Source organism: Homo sapiens, chromosome 2, assembly GCF_000001405.40.
Source record: "Homo sapiens chromosome 2, GRCh38.p14 Primary Assembly".
In the NCBI taxonomy this organism is placed as follows: Eukaryota; Metazoa; Chordata; class Mammalia; order Primates; family Hominidae; genus Homo; species Homo sapiens.
Window position 1 is genome coordinate 235,132,413 of NC_000002.12, and position 15,666 is coordinate 235,148,078.

The window sequence follows — 15,666 nt, forward strand, 5'->3', positions numbered from 1 at the left end:
ATCCCATCTCTACTAAAAATACAAAAATTAGCCAGGCAGGGTGACGCATGCCTGTAATCCCAGCTACTTGGGAGGCTGAGGCACGAAAATCACTTGAATCCGAGAGGCAGAGGATGCAGTGAGCAGAGATCGCACCACTGAACTCCAGCCTGCATGACAGAACAAGAGTCTGTCTCAAAAATAATAATAATAAATTTAAAAAAATAAAATAAAAGTTCTAAAGCCAGTTGGAGTTTACTAACTGCTTCAAATATGCCTGTTATTTCTTCTCTTCCTATGGAGGGCGCAGGGGGGAAAAAGAACAAAATACGCATGTTACTTAACAAGGGCTCAGATGGGACTATTAATTCACAGTTCAATGCTCTTCTTAGAGTGGAAGTTGATATGTTTTTGTTGCTCATTGGTTATTGGATAAAGCTATTTTCCCAGGCATAAAAAGAAGACTTAGTAACAGCTTTCTTTATTAAAATTGTGAATTGCTCAAAGCAGCTTCCTGTCCTCCAGGAAATCTAAAACAAAACACTGAGAGATTTTATAGCCTCCTTCCTTTCCCCTAGAGTCCACAAGAACTATTTTCTTCCCTTCTATCTCTTTTATTTTCCCAGACTGTAATTTCTGTGGAGAGAGCCCAGTTCATTGGAAGTTTCTGGAAGGCGGAGATGCCAGAGTGTGGCAACATCATTCCAAGGGCCATCACTGGTGCTCAAGAAGTCATGGGCCTCGGGCCACTGAGTACCTTTGACTTTAAAGAGACGTGGTTTCTGGGCACGGTGGCTCACACCTGTAATCTCAGAACTTTGGGAGGCCAAGGCAGGTGGATCACTTGAGCCCAGGGGTATGAGACCAGCCTAGGCATCATGGTAAAACCTTGTCTATACAAAAAAATTCAAACATTAGCCAGGTATGGTGGTGTGCACGTTTAGTCCCAGCTACTCAGGAGGCTGAGGCAGGAGGATCAAATGAGCCTGGGAGGTCAAGGCTGCAGTGAGCTGTGATGGCACCACTGCACTCCAGCCAGGGTGACAGAGGGAGTCCTGGTCACACACACACACACACACACACACAAAGACATGATCTATTTGATTTTGTTCCTTCTGAGTCTTAACTCAATGAAAGGCCATTTTAAGTGAGCAAAATGAGAATCTTTTTATAGATGATGCCAGTAATAAACATTACTAGTTATTTGTCATATTTGAAATGATGCTCAGTTCATTTTACTCATTACTGTTCATGGCGATTACTGAATACTAGCTTTGCTAATTACTTTTATTAATTGTCATTAGAATTAGAATTTCACTGTGGCTTAAATTCAAACCATGCTTGACAAATAGTTTGACAAATAGTTGCTTGACAAATAGTTGGAAGACTTCCTCTCCCCCAACGATGGCTTTGCCAGAGCTGCAATCATGGTGTCCTCAGCTGGCCTGCCAAGGGCAGCCTCTGTCCTTCCCCCTAACCAGCTCTGTCCTTCTGCACATCATGAATCCATGGAAAGCTCAGAGATGTGTAGGAATGAGCAGGAAGTGTCAGGAAGCAGGGTGGCCCTAACTGCTAGGAAATGGGGCTTAACAGGAGGAAGCGGTTGGCCTGAGCAGGTTTCCTTTTTAGGTGGGGGAGGGAGGGAAGGATAAGAAACTGAGATCACAGCGGGAGCTGTGGGGAGCCAGAAGGGTCCTAGAGGGAGGGCAGAGACTATTGGTGGGAAATGATGATGATACAGACTGGGCTTCCTGGGGCTCCAGGAGTGCAGCTATGCCTCCAGCACTGTCCTAGCAGTGTGGGGAGCTCAGAGTCAAGCCCAAGCTGTGGTTTGGGAGCTCCTTTCAGCAGCAGCTCTCTCTCACTAATGTCCCTGTGGTCTGCAACTGCTTTTCCTGGCTTGCTTTGATTGATTTTTTTAGCGTGTTCCTTCCCTGATGCTTGTATACCTCTTTTTGGTCTCTTTTCCCTCTTGTACCTCCTTTGTTTCTGAGCTCTCAAAAAAACTGCCATTAAAGATGACTTTCTGCTGACATTTTTCTGGATGCAGTATATACCTATAGAGCAAAAAAGATTGCAGCTCTTTTGAAAAAAGCAAGCATGTTTCTTGCTTAAATAGCCAGTGCCTGGACACATAACAATTTCTCTAGAAGTAGATTGCAAATGACTGAATTGATTAGTTCCTATAAGCCGCTTAGCCCTGTGGTGCATAATGTTACTGGGATCTTATTGCTTTAGGGGGTTGACTTTGTAATTTGTGACTTGTTCTTTGCTGCAGGCTTTGCTGCTGGAATACAAATGAGGCCATATTGACATTTATGCCCAGACTCAAAGGCCCCCACCGGCTCTTCTGAAATGGATCCAAACTTTTTCTGAATACTTTTTTGCTCAGGCATTCCTAAATAAGCCTAGAGGTGCTTGTACACGTTCACGAATCAGTCCAGCATCTGAGCTGTCTGATAGGTGCCTGTTCCCTTCACTGGTAGAATAGACCATCCCCTTTGTATCTAGACTATGATGATTCCTCAAGAGAAGGAGGATATGGAATCAGGAGTATCCCACAGAAAAGCTGCCTGGACCCCAAGTGTAACATCTTACAACTCACCCTTGGATAAGCCCCTTCCAATTCACCCCTGGACAAGCCCCTTCCAATTCACACTTGGGTGAGCCTCTTCCAATTCACCCTTGGACAAGCCCCTTCCAGTTCACCCTCGGACAGGCCCCTTCCAGTTCACCCTCGGACAGGCCCCTTCCAGTTCACCCTCAGACAGGCCCCTTCCAATTCACCCTTGGACAGGCCCCTTCCAGTTCACCCTCGGACAAGCCTCCTTTCAATTAACACTTGGATGAGCCTCTTTCAATTCACACTTGGACAAGCTCCTTCCAATTCACCCTTGGACAAGGTCATTCCAATCCACTCCTGGAGAAGCCTCCTTCCAATTCACACTTGAGTGAGCCTCTTTCAATTCACCCTTGGACAAGTCCTTTCCAGTTCACACTTGGACAAGCATCTTTCCAGTTCACACTTGGGTGAGCCTCTTCCAATTCACCCTTGGACAAGCCCATTCCAATTCACCCTTGGACACACACCCTTCCAATTCACACCTGGGTGAGCTCTTTCAATCCTTGGACAAGCCCCTTCCAATTCATTCATGGGGAGCCTCTTCCAATTCACTCTTGGATAAACCTTTTCCAATTCACCCTTGGACAGCCCTCCTCCAATTCACTCTTGAAGATATTCTTTCAGTTTACACTCGGGGAGGCCTCTTTCACCAGACACAAATGGTACCAGGGTTGCTGCATCCAAATGGTGTCCCTTATCACCACTCAGCTGACCCGGAGCCAGCCTTTAGACGGTGGTGTGAACCTTCAGTGCTCATGGTTCCAGTCTCCCCCATTTCTTGAGGTGGATTTCCTCTCAGGATTCCAGGGTCCTTCCTTTCAATTCATCACATTAGAGATACCCCAACCCCTCAGGCATAGTTTCATATTTCTGAGCCTGAGGTAAAGGGAGGCAGGGTCTTTGTCCCCTTTCTTTCTGAGGGTAATCTATCCCTCTCTATATAAAAATAATTGGAGCAACTCTGCAGCATCTGAGCCCCAAAACCGGATCGTGGAGGGAGACACAGCGTCGGACTCCACAAGGCAGTAGGCGAACACCGCACCTCGAGTCCATCTGCGTTGCTGCTTGAGGGTATGGACGATGTGCGGGATGGAGGCCCAGAGCTGTTCATCCCTGCAACCAATGTTCACGCAACCACCAGGGGGCGAAAGGACTCTAACCCCACACGTAGTGAGTGGTTCCCACGCCACGTTCCAGTAGGAGAAATGAAGTTCCCGGGGACGGAAGAAGATGGCAGTCACCTGGTGTGCCCAGCATGTTTGACCCCCCGAGCAGCTTATGTTTCAACACCTCTCTCTATATAAGATAGGATTACTTGCTATGGTGATTATAAAATGAAACAAATAATAGTGATGGCCAGAAAGGAAACATTACCAGTGAAAATTTTTCTTTTATTGAATTTCATAAATATAATTAAAAAAACAAATGAATAAAAATAAAGCAAACATCATAATACAAAAAAGGAAATAAGGCCTGGTTTTTTTCCCAAGAGTCTAAAAATCTACATCTTGGTTTCAACTTTGACGCCTTGGTAACAGTTTGGTGTAATATTTTGTGCAAATAATTGTCCAGTAACCAATAAGTAGATGTTAATCAAACTGAATCATCTACAGAAGATACGGTTTAGGCAACTACTAAATCATTTCATTTTTGTAAATTTTATTTGCTCGATTTACTTTTGTTTTAAAACAATTGACAATGACTACAGAATACACTTCATTTTCAAGATATTATTTAAATTCCACCAATAGTTGACATATGAAGTAAACCAAATAAAAATATTACACCTCCAAAGTGTCACTGTCTCACCGCTCTAAATTGTAAACAAAAGTTAAAACTTCAGCTGGGCACACAACGTGAAAGAGGGGGTCTGTTGTTGTTGCTGCTTTTGTTTTTAAACACAGGGTCTTGCTCTGTCGCTCAGGCTGAAGTGCAGTGGCATGATCTTAGCTCAGTGCAGCCTCAAACTCCTGGACTCAAGTGAGTCTTCCCCTTCAGCCTCCTGAATAACTAGGATTACAGACGCATGCCACCACACCTGGTCAATTTTTAGAAATTTTTTTGGTAGAGATTGGGGTCTCAATATATTGCTGAGGCTGGTCATGAACTCCTGGCTGGTCATGTACTCCTGGTCTCAAGCAATCCTCCTGTCTTGGCCTCCCAAAGTGCTGGAATTACAGGCATGAGCCACCAGCATTCTGGTTCTTGGTCTTTGCTTCTCCATGCTGCCACAACTGGTTGCAAATCCCCTGTTAGAGGGGTTATGCATAGACTGGAGTGGGAGATCCAAACTGCACCCCACAGCCTTATCAAACCCCATCCACATAACAGGGAGTTCTCTGAATTACCTTCCATGCAGAATACAATGTTTAGTAAAGTGAGTAGTAACAAAGGTGCTCTGCTGAAGCTTACATATATATCATTAAAACAGTGACTACAGCAGTTGTTTTTGACTGAGACCAAAAATAAATAAATAAACAAATAGAAAACAAGATTCTTTTTCACGTGGGAGTATTTTTTATTATTGACATTGTTTAGGATTGCTGGCATATGATGATAATAAAAAGCAGTTGGATTTTAGTTGTTTTTATTTTTCTTGTTCAACATACTTCAGACAATGCCAACACCCCCACTGTCATCTGCACCCGGGCAAACCCACCCACTGCCTTGAGAATCTGGCTGCCTGCTTTGTAGAAACAAATAAATAAGTCAACAACATGAGCCCTGCCTGCAGGATCTGGTTATGAAGAAGGGTTCCTTCTTAGTATCCTGCCTCAAGGAGGCCTGTTTTTTTTCCTAAATATTGGGGTCTGAAAATCTCTGAACCTTCCAGGGATAATACCACAGGCCATTGGCCCCAAAGTGGTTGCCATGGCTCCTGAAATCAACCCAGTCATTCCTGTGACAGGTCATCAGAACAGGCTTCAGGATGGCTAGCTTGTGAGCTTTCTGCAGTTGCTGAAAGGCCTCATGTGACTAAACTGAACTATTCACCCCTCTCTGTCTCCCCAGGCCAGGTATCCACAGCTACCAGAAGCCTAGCTCTCATCCACACCTCCATGGTCTTTCCAACACCCTGAAATCGTACATGAAAATCAGCCTAAATACAAGTAATCATTCATGGCATATTGAATTTTTGGGGGACTGAAATTAACTATAAACTGGATTACATTGTTCTAATTTGGGAGATAGAAATAAACACTTAAGATGGAGCTTTCGAATCAAAGTTATTATTTTTCAAAAATGGCCCTAGAGTCCTATGGTAAACAGAATAATAGCCCCCACCTGCAAAGACATCCGCATCCTAATCCCCGGAACTTGTGAATATGGTACAGTGCCGAGCTGGATTTGGGGGGAAAAGTCCAGCACCAGTAGCTGAGACCCATCAGCAATGGGCAGGGATGAGGAGGCCCCAGGAGCAGGGAGCCCAGACCCCAGAAACAGCTACATCCCTAGGGCCTTAACTGTGATTGGTGTCACCAGGGGCTCTGGGTCCTTCCGAAGTCACAGCATAGTGGGTGAGCTGGGTGGGAGGATCTCTCATCTAAGCCACCGACTCGTCACTGTGACTGACCAGCGCCCGGGCAATGGAATTTTCTCATCCGCTGGCAGTCTGCAGAGTCCCCAGTGGCAGGGACGGAGAGGAAACTTGATCTACATGAAGTGTGAGTCCACGGTCGGTTCAGAGATTCTTTTGACTTTCCAGGATAATATTTTATACTAAGGGTTGGACTTGCATCTGCTGCTCATTGCTGCTGTCACAAACTACCAAAAACCTAATGGCTTACAACAGTGGAAACTTATCTCATGCTGAAGTCAGAAGCCTGACACGGGTCTTACAGGCTAGAATCAAAGTGTCGGCAGAGCTGCGTTCCTTCCCAGGGCTCCAGGGACAATTCGTTCTTGCATCTTCTGGCATCTAGAAGGCACCTGCATTCTTTGGCTCATGGTCCCTTTCTCCATTTCAAAGTGTGTCCTCGCATTGCCCTCTCTGACTCTGACCTGCCTCTCTCTTATAAAAACCCCGTGATGGGCCTGGCGCGGTGGCTCACACCTATAATCCCAGCACTTTGGGAGGTCAAGGAGGGTGGATCACGAGGTCAGGAGATCGAGACCATCCTGGCCAATGTGGTGAAACCTCGTTTCTACTAAAATATAAAAAATTAGTTGGGTGTGGGGACGCACGCCTGTAGTCCCAGCTACTCGGGAGGCTGAGGCAGGAGAATTGCTTTAACCAGGGAAGCAGAGGGTGCAGTGAGCCAGGGTCAGGCCACTGCACTCCAGCCTGGGTGACAGAGCAAGACTCTGTCTCAAATAAATAAATAAACAAATAAATAAATAAAACCCTGTGATAACGTTGGGCTCGCTCACCTATTCCAGGGTCACCTCCTCTTCTCAAGATCCTTAGCTGAATTACATCTGCAAAATGCAAAATGTAAAGTCAGATGTTCAGAGATTAGATGTCAGGGATTAGGATGTGAACATTTGGGGGGTGGGTGTGGTTATTCTGCCTATCGCTGGACTCTCCTGCCATTTTTGAAAAATACTTTTAAAATATTAGATTTGACCTGTTCATTTCTCTGTCTTCTAAATTAGAACAATTTGTTCCAGTTTATGTTTGGCTTAAGTCCCAAAGAAATTCAATATGAAACCAATAATTGCTGGTTATTAGCCTAATTTATCATTTGGGACTTGGCTGTACTTATTCATCAAACTAAAAGATGGTGGTGAATTCATTAATAATTTTTACTTAGAGTGTGTGTAGGTCTTTAAAAATGATTTGAGGTTGTTTACAAACTTAAAATAGAATGAATACAATCAAAACCCAAAATGACTCGAAGAGACAAGCAGATTTTACCAGGTACCTCATCTACAGACTGGGAACATCACCTCAAGGCAGTTTGGTTGGTTGGTTGTTGCAGTTTCTGTTCAAAGATGAACCCACTGTGCTTCCTGGTCATGTTGTCTGACAAGCAAAAGTACACACGGGGTTGGAAAGAAAACCGATGCCCAGACCTGGAGTTCGGGGAGGCATCTGTATGCGGAGACCTGAGTTGGGGGAGGCACCTGTATGTGGAGGCCAGGGTTGGGGGAAGTATCTGTGTGCACAGGCCTGGGTTGGGGGAGGTATCTGTATGTGAGGGCACCGAGACCCAGGTTCTCTGCTAATGTGCTGTCAGCTTCTAGTCCTGAGCCTGACTATATGAGGCCAGGCCTATCGGCAGATAAGCCAACCTTGTCTTATCTCGTCTTCCTCCCCGCTGCTCCCAACTCTAACCCCCTATCTTCCTCTCAGCTCCCTTCTGAAGGCTGTCTCAGATCCCTCCTGGTAACACAGTCTCCGTCGACCCCCCTGAACCCACTCTTTTCTAATGTGACAAACCAATGTGCCACGTGATCCTGCCCGCCTCGCCAGGACTGAAGCTCCTAAACACCTCCAGCACCTGCTCCACTCTCTCTATTAGAGGATTTTGTTCTGCCAGAGCTCCTGCCTGGGGTTGCAGACGGGGTGCGAGAGATCAGCCTGCTCCTGGCTTAATGCACATTCCAGATTCCTCCCCTTTGAGCCCCATGCTGCCAGCCACCATCCAACACCCATGGGCAGCTCACACTGAAGCACAGAGTGGGAGCCTCATGCCATAGGCCCTACCCTTCTGCCTCCCTCTGCCCATGCTGCTCGGTCCCAGCGTTGGCCCCAGCCCTGTTCCTGCTCCCCGTCCTGCCAGCCCAGCTCCTCACCCTTTGCTCGACTGCAGAGATTCCTGGCCCCACATCCTCCCTGTCTTTGGACGCCCAGCAGCTCGCATCACATCTCCCACACTGATGCTGAATGGGGCTGCAGGAACTCAGCCCAGCACCACAGACCCCTGGTCTCCAACTCCATATGTGGCTCAGGCCTCTCAGCAGCTTACACACCAGTGTCCACCCCTCCCCAAGTAGCTCCCATGGTTCCAGACCTCCCCTTCTCTCCCCATGCGCCAACCCCGCGTCCCCTTCCCAGCTCTCCCTGAAGACCCCAATCCAACTTCACAGAGCAAAGCAAGATGACAGAGGATCCTCTCCTTCCATCCTAAGAGGCCTTTGCATCTGGCCAAAAAGCTCAGCCTTCTCCTCTTCACAATTAGGAGTTACCCAGGACATTGCCCATTGCCCGGAGTGGGTAGAGAGGCCTGGGGATGCTGGAATGGGCAGAGCCTGCTGACATCTTACACACAGGGGACTTTGAGAGGTCTCCAGGCCTGGAAATTACTCTGAGCAGCGAAATTCGGGGGAATTAATTAACACTAGGATCAGGAGGAACTGGACGAAGAGCCTAAGTCACCCTTTATAGGGTTTTTTTTTTAAATTTTATTATTATTTTTTTCATTTAGTTGTTCTATTCTCAACATTTCACATGCCCAGAGATTGAAAGGGGGAATTGTTCTGCAAAGTTCATTCTAGACAATGGTGATCCTCTTCACCGCCATTTCCTATTTCCCGGGGCCAGCTGCCTTCACCAACAGCTGCAGATTCTCTTGGTATCTACCTGCAAGTCTGAGATCACACCGCAGCGCTGGATGTAGCAATCCTGGTCCTTATCTAGCGATGCAGCCACAGTGCCTGAGGACATGGCTCTGTTTTACTCCTTTGACTCCACAACGCACCTGAGCTGTGTCCTGCCCTCCACCTCCCGATTAGGTGATATAGTAACTTCAGTGAGATCAACAGTCAGTGCTTACATTCATCTAAACTCGTAAATGCGATGCCCAGCTGTGATGGTTAGTTTTACGTGTCCATGTGGCTAGGCTCTAGTGCCCAGCTATTAATTCAGATGCCAACCTGGGGGTTGCTGTGAAGGTGTTTTGTACAAACGGCTAATGTCTACAATCATTGACTTTAATCAAAGGAGAGGATCCTAAGCCTTGTGGGTGGGCCCCACCCAATCAGTTGAAAGACCTTACGTACAAAACTGAGGTTTCCTTGAGGAGGAAGAAATTCTGCCTCCACATGTCAGTGTCAGCTCTTGGCTGAGAGTTTCCAGCCTGCCAGCTGCCCTACAGATTTTGGACTTGCTAACCCCACAATTACATCAGCCCATTCCTTGAAATAACTCTTTTTATGTTATGTATGCATACATACATATGTGTGTGTATGTATGTGTGCATGTGTATATATATATGTGTGTGTGTGTGTGTGTGTGTGTGTGTGTGTGTGTGTATGGCTAACATGTTCCACAGGTTTGGTTTCTCTGGAGAGCCTTGATTAATATATCAGCTAAGCCTGGAATATATAAGCTTTCTACATCCTTCTGTTTTTCTAGGAGTTAATGATGGTCTTGGTTTTTATTTGCCTAGTTTCCAACGTAGTTAACAGTGATTTATCCCCAAATGTCCCATCCAGTGCTCTCTACATGTAAGTCTCTTTCTGGGGTGCTATGGAAGCCTCTTGCCTTGCAGGAAAGTCTGGGCCCTGCAGGGTTGGCCTCCCAGGACCCTGGAGGATTCGCTGGGTCTCACTGCCTTGTGGGACCACCCTCCGCACTCCTGGATTCCTGGATTCTGTGCCCTCTCTTGCCTGCTTTATTCCCTCAATTCAGTGAAGCACATCTTCATTGGTGTTCAGAGGCAATTGGAAATGTATTTCTCTCTCTTCAGACTGAGGGCTATAGAATTCTAGGCTGGAAATCACCTTTCCTCAGAGTCTCGAAGACACTGTTTTATTGTCCCAGCATTGCTCTTGCCAAGTCCAAAGTGCACACTGATTCTGGATCCTTTGTCTGACGCTATCCCCGCCCTTTCTGAAAGCTGGAAGGTGTTATTTTTGCCCACAGTGTTGGGAAATTTCAAGGCAACGTGTCCTGGGAAGACTATTTGCATCTGCTGTGCTGTGCACTGGCTGGTCCCTGCCCTTTGGGAACCCACATACTTCAGTTCTGGACTTTCCTTCTGCCTTCCTCTGTCTTCTCCTTTTGTTTTTTATTCTTGTTTTTTTTTTTAAATTGACACATAGTAATTGCACATATGTATGGGGTACATGTGATATTTTGATACATGCCTACAATGTGTAATGATCAAATCAAGTTAGCTGGAATATCCATTGCCTCAAACATTCATCCTTTCTTTGTGCTGGGACCTTTTCAAATCTTCTTTTCCAGCTACTTTGAAACTTATAATAAGATATTGTTAACTATTGACACCCTCCTGTACTATGGAGTGCTAGAGCTGATTCTTTCTCTCTAACTGCTACCATTTTCTTCTTCTTTTTTTTTTTTAAATTTCAGAAGCCTTGTTATTCCCTTACATTACTTTTTTAAAAGCATTATATTTTTGCTCTTTAGTCCTTGCTGGGATTTTGATAGTTTTTTTTTTTTTTTAAGTTTTTGTCTCCTTGTATGTTCTAAAAAGCCGGTGGGAAGCTCCATATAGGAAGATGGGTCTTGATAAAAGCGCACTTGCTCACGCCTGTAATCCCAGCACTTTGGGAGGCTGGGGAGGGCAGATCACTTGAGGTCAGGAGTTCGAGGCCAGCCTGGCCAACATGGTGAAATCCCGTCTCTACTAAAAGTACAAAAATTAGCCGGGCATGGTGGCGGGTGCCTGTAATCCCAGCTACTTGGGAGGCTGAGGCAGGACAATTGCTTGAACCCAGGAGGTGGAGGTTGCAGTGAGCCCAGATCACACCACTGCACTCTAGCCTGGGTGACAAGGGTGAGACTCCATCTCAAAAAAAAAAAAAGAAGCGCATTTGCTCTAGGTGTTCTGCATGAACTGTTCAATTTGGGGAATTGCTTTCTTATGTTGATTCAGATTCCTGGACTCCAGCAAACTCATTCTTAGAAGCTCAAAGGCTGAGGTTCTGGGAGCCCCCTGGTAGAAGCAGGGTGGATGTCTTTTTTTTCCCCTAGTGCCTTCAGAACAGTGTTTCTGGCCCAGAGGTGCTGTTTCCTCCACACAAGACCCTGTCTGTTCTCCCCTCCGGGAGCTCCTCTAGTCTCTGCTAGGATGGAGGTGAGGTCATCTGGTTGGTGGGCAGGGTAAGGAGATCTGGGAGTCTCTGTACTTTTAATCGACTTTCAACTCTTCCTGCAGTGCTTAGCCCACCCTCATCCCCTTCCAGAGTGCTGGATGCCACCAATCCCTGAGCTTCCTGGCTCTCTAGGGTTCAAATTCAGCTGCTAAGTTAGGATTCTCCTGTTTTTTGGATGGTTCAGTTGCAATTGGTCCTGCCGCTCTTTGGCTTGCAAATCCTTTTTGCTATTGTCTTGTCTTCTCTTCTATTTGCCCTTGGAAATGTATGACTAAAGAATAAAACAAATGACACAAGTGAAAACCTTTGCTGTATTTTAGTGGGGTCTCAGGAGGAAACGGGGTGAATGCGTGTGTGCAGTGCTTTGAAATTTACAGGCAGCTTCCCTCACCTGCCCTCCATGCATTCAGCAGCCACTGTTTCTGAAGCTTAGACCTGGAGGGTGGCTTTCATAAGGACTCTCTTCCTGGCAGGGGAGGTCTCCAGATTGGGAGTCATTCCGGATGTGAGGAATTCTCATTCCACTTTTGGATCCTAACAGCTGGTGACTAGGAGTAAGAGCTGCTTCATGTGATAAGTAATGACCCTGAGGTTCTGAATTGGGGCTGGTAGAGAGCCCCTCGTGAGTCCTGGGAGTGTTTGGGTCTCCTGCAATCTTATCAGCTAATATCCAATGCTTTTGTCGCACCCTTCACTAAGAATGTGCCTCTCCAGGAGTCTAATGGACTCAGTCTCGTCCCTCAAAGTGTGGTTCTTCATATTAATGAAAATTGATCCCTTTCTGACTTCACGATGCTGGGCGCTGTGAGCATTCAAAGCACAGCAGATTAACTTCTACGTGGCTGTGCTCAGGGGTGATCTGGGCTTAGGCTGGCTGGCTCCATCCCTGCTTCCTGGTCCAGCCTGGGAGTGATGGAGTCCCCCAGGGCACTTGCCTCTGTCCCTGGTGTTGCATCTACACTGAGCCTGAAGCGTTCCGTTGAGAGATGGCAAAGGCGGCTCATGAGACGATCTTGTCTGGCCTCGGCTTGACTTCATTGCGATGGATGCAATTACAGCTCCAAGGGGACATGCTGTTTCTTGGAAAATCATTTGTTTTCTTTCAAATCATGGACCTGATGGATCTAGGAGAACTTACTTTCACTGACTGGCTAGCTGATGCTACCTACAACTTGGCTTTTAGTGTTTTCTGTGGTCATCTATGTAGGTAAAGAGAGATGTAAAGAATGAAGCCTGAAGGAAATTAATTTCCTAATTTTTATTTTAAAAGCTATATAGAGTCTTTAAAAGCTCAGTTATGGAAGTATAATTTAAATGGAATAAAATTCACCAACTTTTTAAAATTTTTTTACTGTTTTATTTAATGAATATTAATTTTTTTATAGAAAACATAGAATTTCTAGCAATTAATATTGTAGTAAGAATAGATGTATGAAGTCACAGATAATCTTGCTAAACAAAGATCTTCTCTTGTAGATCCAAAGTCATGAGTAGGCCTAAACTGGCAGTACCTATTGTTCATTTATTGTAGGAGGATTTCCCATTTTATAAACAAACATGTTATTTATGGGAGGAGGTTCAGGGCTTCAGAATGTCTTCAGTGTATATTTCCTGATACTCAAGGGGTGGAATTCCCCTTCTGTCCATCAGGTGACAGCTACTTGCAGCTGAGGGCATTTTGCAGAGGCTTCTCCAGAGTTAAACACATAAAAAGATAATTCCCTGGTAACCAAATATGGCCGCTGTATTAGCCCATTCTCACGCTGCTGTGAAGACATACCTGAGACTGTGTAATTTATGAAGGAAAGAGGTTTAGTTGACTCACAGTTCCACATGGCTGGGGAGGCCTCAGGAAACTTACAATCATGGCAGAAGGGGAAGAAAACATGTCCTTCTTCACATGGCAGCAGCTAGGAGAAGTGCCGAGCAAAGGTGGAAAAAACCCCTTATAAAACCATCAGATCTTGTGAGAACTCACTCACTATCATGAGAATAGCATAAGGGTAACACCCCCATGATTTAATTACCTCCCACCAGGTCCCTCCCACGACTTGTGAGGATTATGGGAACTACAATTCAAAATGAGATTGGGTGGGGACACAGCCAAACCAGATCACTTCCCACCCCAATCTTACCAAACTATAAATTACTTACTGTTATATATGTGTATATATATATAATTTCTTATCTCTTTACTATCTCCCCTCCCCTTCTTTTCAGTTGCTCCTCTCTAGAATCCTACACAAGCTTTTACCCAAATACTACCATTTCAAGGGCCAGCAAAGTCCTTCACTAAAGGACAAAGTCTTCCTTTGCTATTCTACTCTACAGTCATCTAGGCTCTGACCTTTAGCCATTATCAAGCATCTGGCTTTAATCTTTTGGTTGCCTAATACTGCTAATTAGCTTTTCACAAGTTTTGACATCTTCCAATTAGATTATAGGCTCCTTAAAGGCAGATTCCTGCCAGGTGCAGTGGCTCATGCCTGTAATCTTAGCACTTTGGAAGCCCGAGGTGGACAGATAGCTTGAGTCCAGAAGTTTGAGACAAGCCTGGGTAACAAGGCAAAACCCCATCTCTACAAAAAAACAAAGAAACAAAAAACAACAAAAAAATTAGCCGGGCATGGTGGTGCACGCCTGTCATCCCAGCTACTTGGGGGACTGAAGTGGGAGGATTGCTTGGGCCCAGGAAGTGGGGGTTGCAGTGAGCTGAGATCTCACCACTGCATTCTAACCTGACCAACAGAGAAAGATCCTGTCTCAAAAGAGCAAAAAATAAGGCAGATTCCTTTATTCCATTTTTTCTATTTTCCTCATGCACCTACATAGTAGATGCTCTAAATGTCCTGGTTTTGAAAAGTAATATAGTCAATCCCCCGTGACTCAACATATACATTTTAGTGTTCTCTAAAGATTTTTCTAGAACCAATCTATGTTATTTATATAAACATGAATATTCTGCTAGCCCAATAAATCTTTTGAGTGTTTCGTATCAGAACTTATGAGCTGACTGTGTCCCAGCCACAGGACTGCAGCTGTTCATCCTGTGGGATTTTGACCTCAATGTTGTAAACAAAATTTGGATCATTCTTCTGATTTTTCTCAAAAAGTTCATCCATGATGCTCTTCCTTTTGGCAAGCTCCTTGTCATCCAGTGTGTTCAGGTCTTTTCCAGGATCAATGGTTGTTTCCGGTCCAATTTGTCCCATTGTTTCTGCCCAACTCTGCCTCCACAGGTAACCTTGTAAAAAACCGGATAGCTTCTCTAGCTGCCTCGGGAATCCTTGTTACGGGTAACTCTCGTGTCGTAGGTTATTCTTTAGCTGTTCAGCCGCTTGCGTGCAACCTGAAAACTTTGAAAAATTTTGAACTGGCAGAATGCGCGAGCGAATTCTCCCCTTGAATTTCATTCTCGTAGATTAAGATGCTAGCTGGAGGCTAAAATCAGATGCCACACTTCTTGGCAGCGCACATCATTCCCACACACACTTCAGAGGATATCGGAGGAAATCTGATGAAAATGTGTAAGTTGCATAATGACTTCCTGCCTTGGAAAAATACAGAAAGGGCATCTTCTTCTGCAGGCCAACATCTATACTGCTTGGAAGGGGTTGCTCCCACCCAACAGCAATGCAAAGAGGAGCACCTAAGTAGACTTTGAGGCTGGGCAGAGCCTGGTACTGCAGGAAGAGACAACGGCCTCAGTCCTACTGATGTGGCTGGATGAACTCCCTGGAAGTAGAGGTGGGGCCGGCACAGGGCACCATATGCTGGCTCCCATGATGGCATGCATGGCTTCAGAGTCCTGAGGGGCACTGGTTAAGCTGTTTCCACAGCAACACCCAGGGCTCACCAAAATTCACCCATTCTAAGTGTACAGCTCAATGAGTTTTTTGACAGTATACAGTATATAGTCACGCAACCACCACTTTCTATATTCAAGAAATAGAATGTGTCCGTTCTTGGGAAAAGCCCCTTGTGCCTCTTGGTGGTCCTCCCTTCCCCTCTGCTCCCAGGCAACCACCGCTCTGCTTTCTGTCTCCGTAGTTTTGCCT

The 15,666-nt window shown here is 45.6% G+C and overlaps 1 pseudogene, besides 1 other annotated feature; it reads right to left on the minus strand.

Moving 5' to 3' along the window:
- Positions 4,692-4,906: a silencer, noted in NCBI's record as "fragment chr2:236045748-236045962 (GRCh37/hg19 assembly coordinates)". NCBI's record gives its function as "represses an EF-1alpha promoter that drives an FKBP-Casp9 reporter gene in an ReSE screen in K562 erythroleukemia cells {active_cell/tissue: K562}" and the evidence as "EXISTENCE:reporter gene assay evidence [ECO:0000049][PMID:32094911]".
- On the minus strand, positions 14,422-15,288 carry CEP19P1 (CEP19 pseudogene 1; annotated as a pseudogene).
- Between the last annotated feature and the right edge of the window lie 378 nt (positions 15,289-15,666).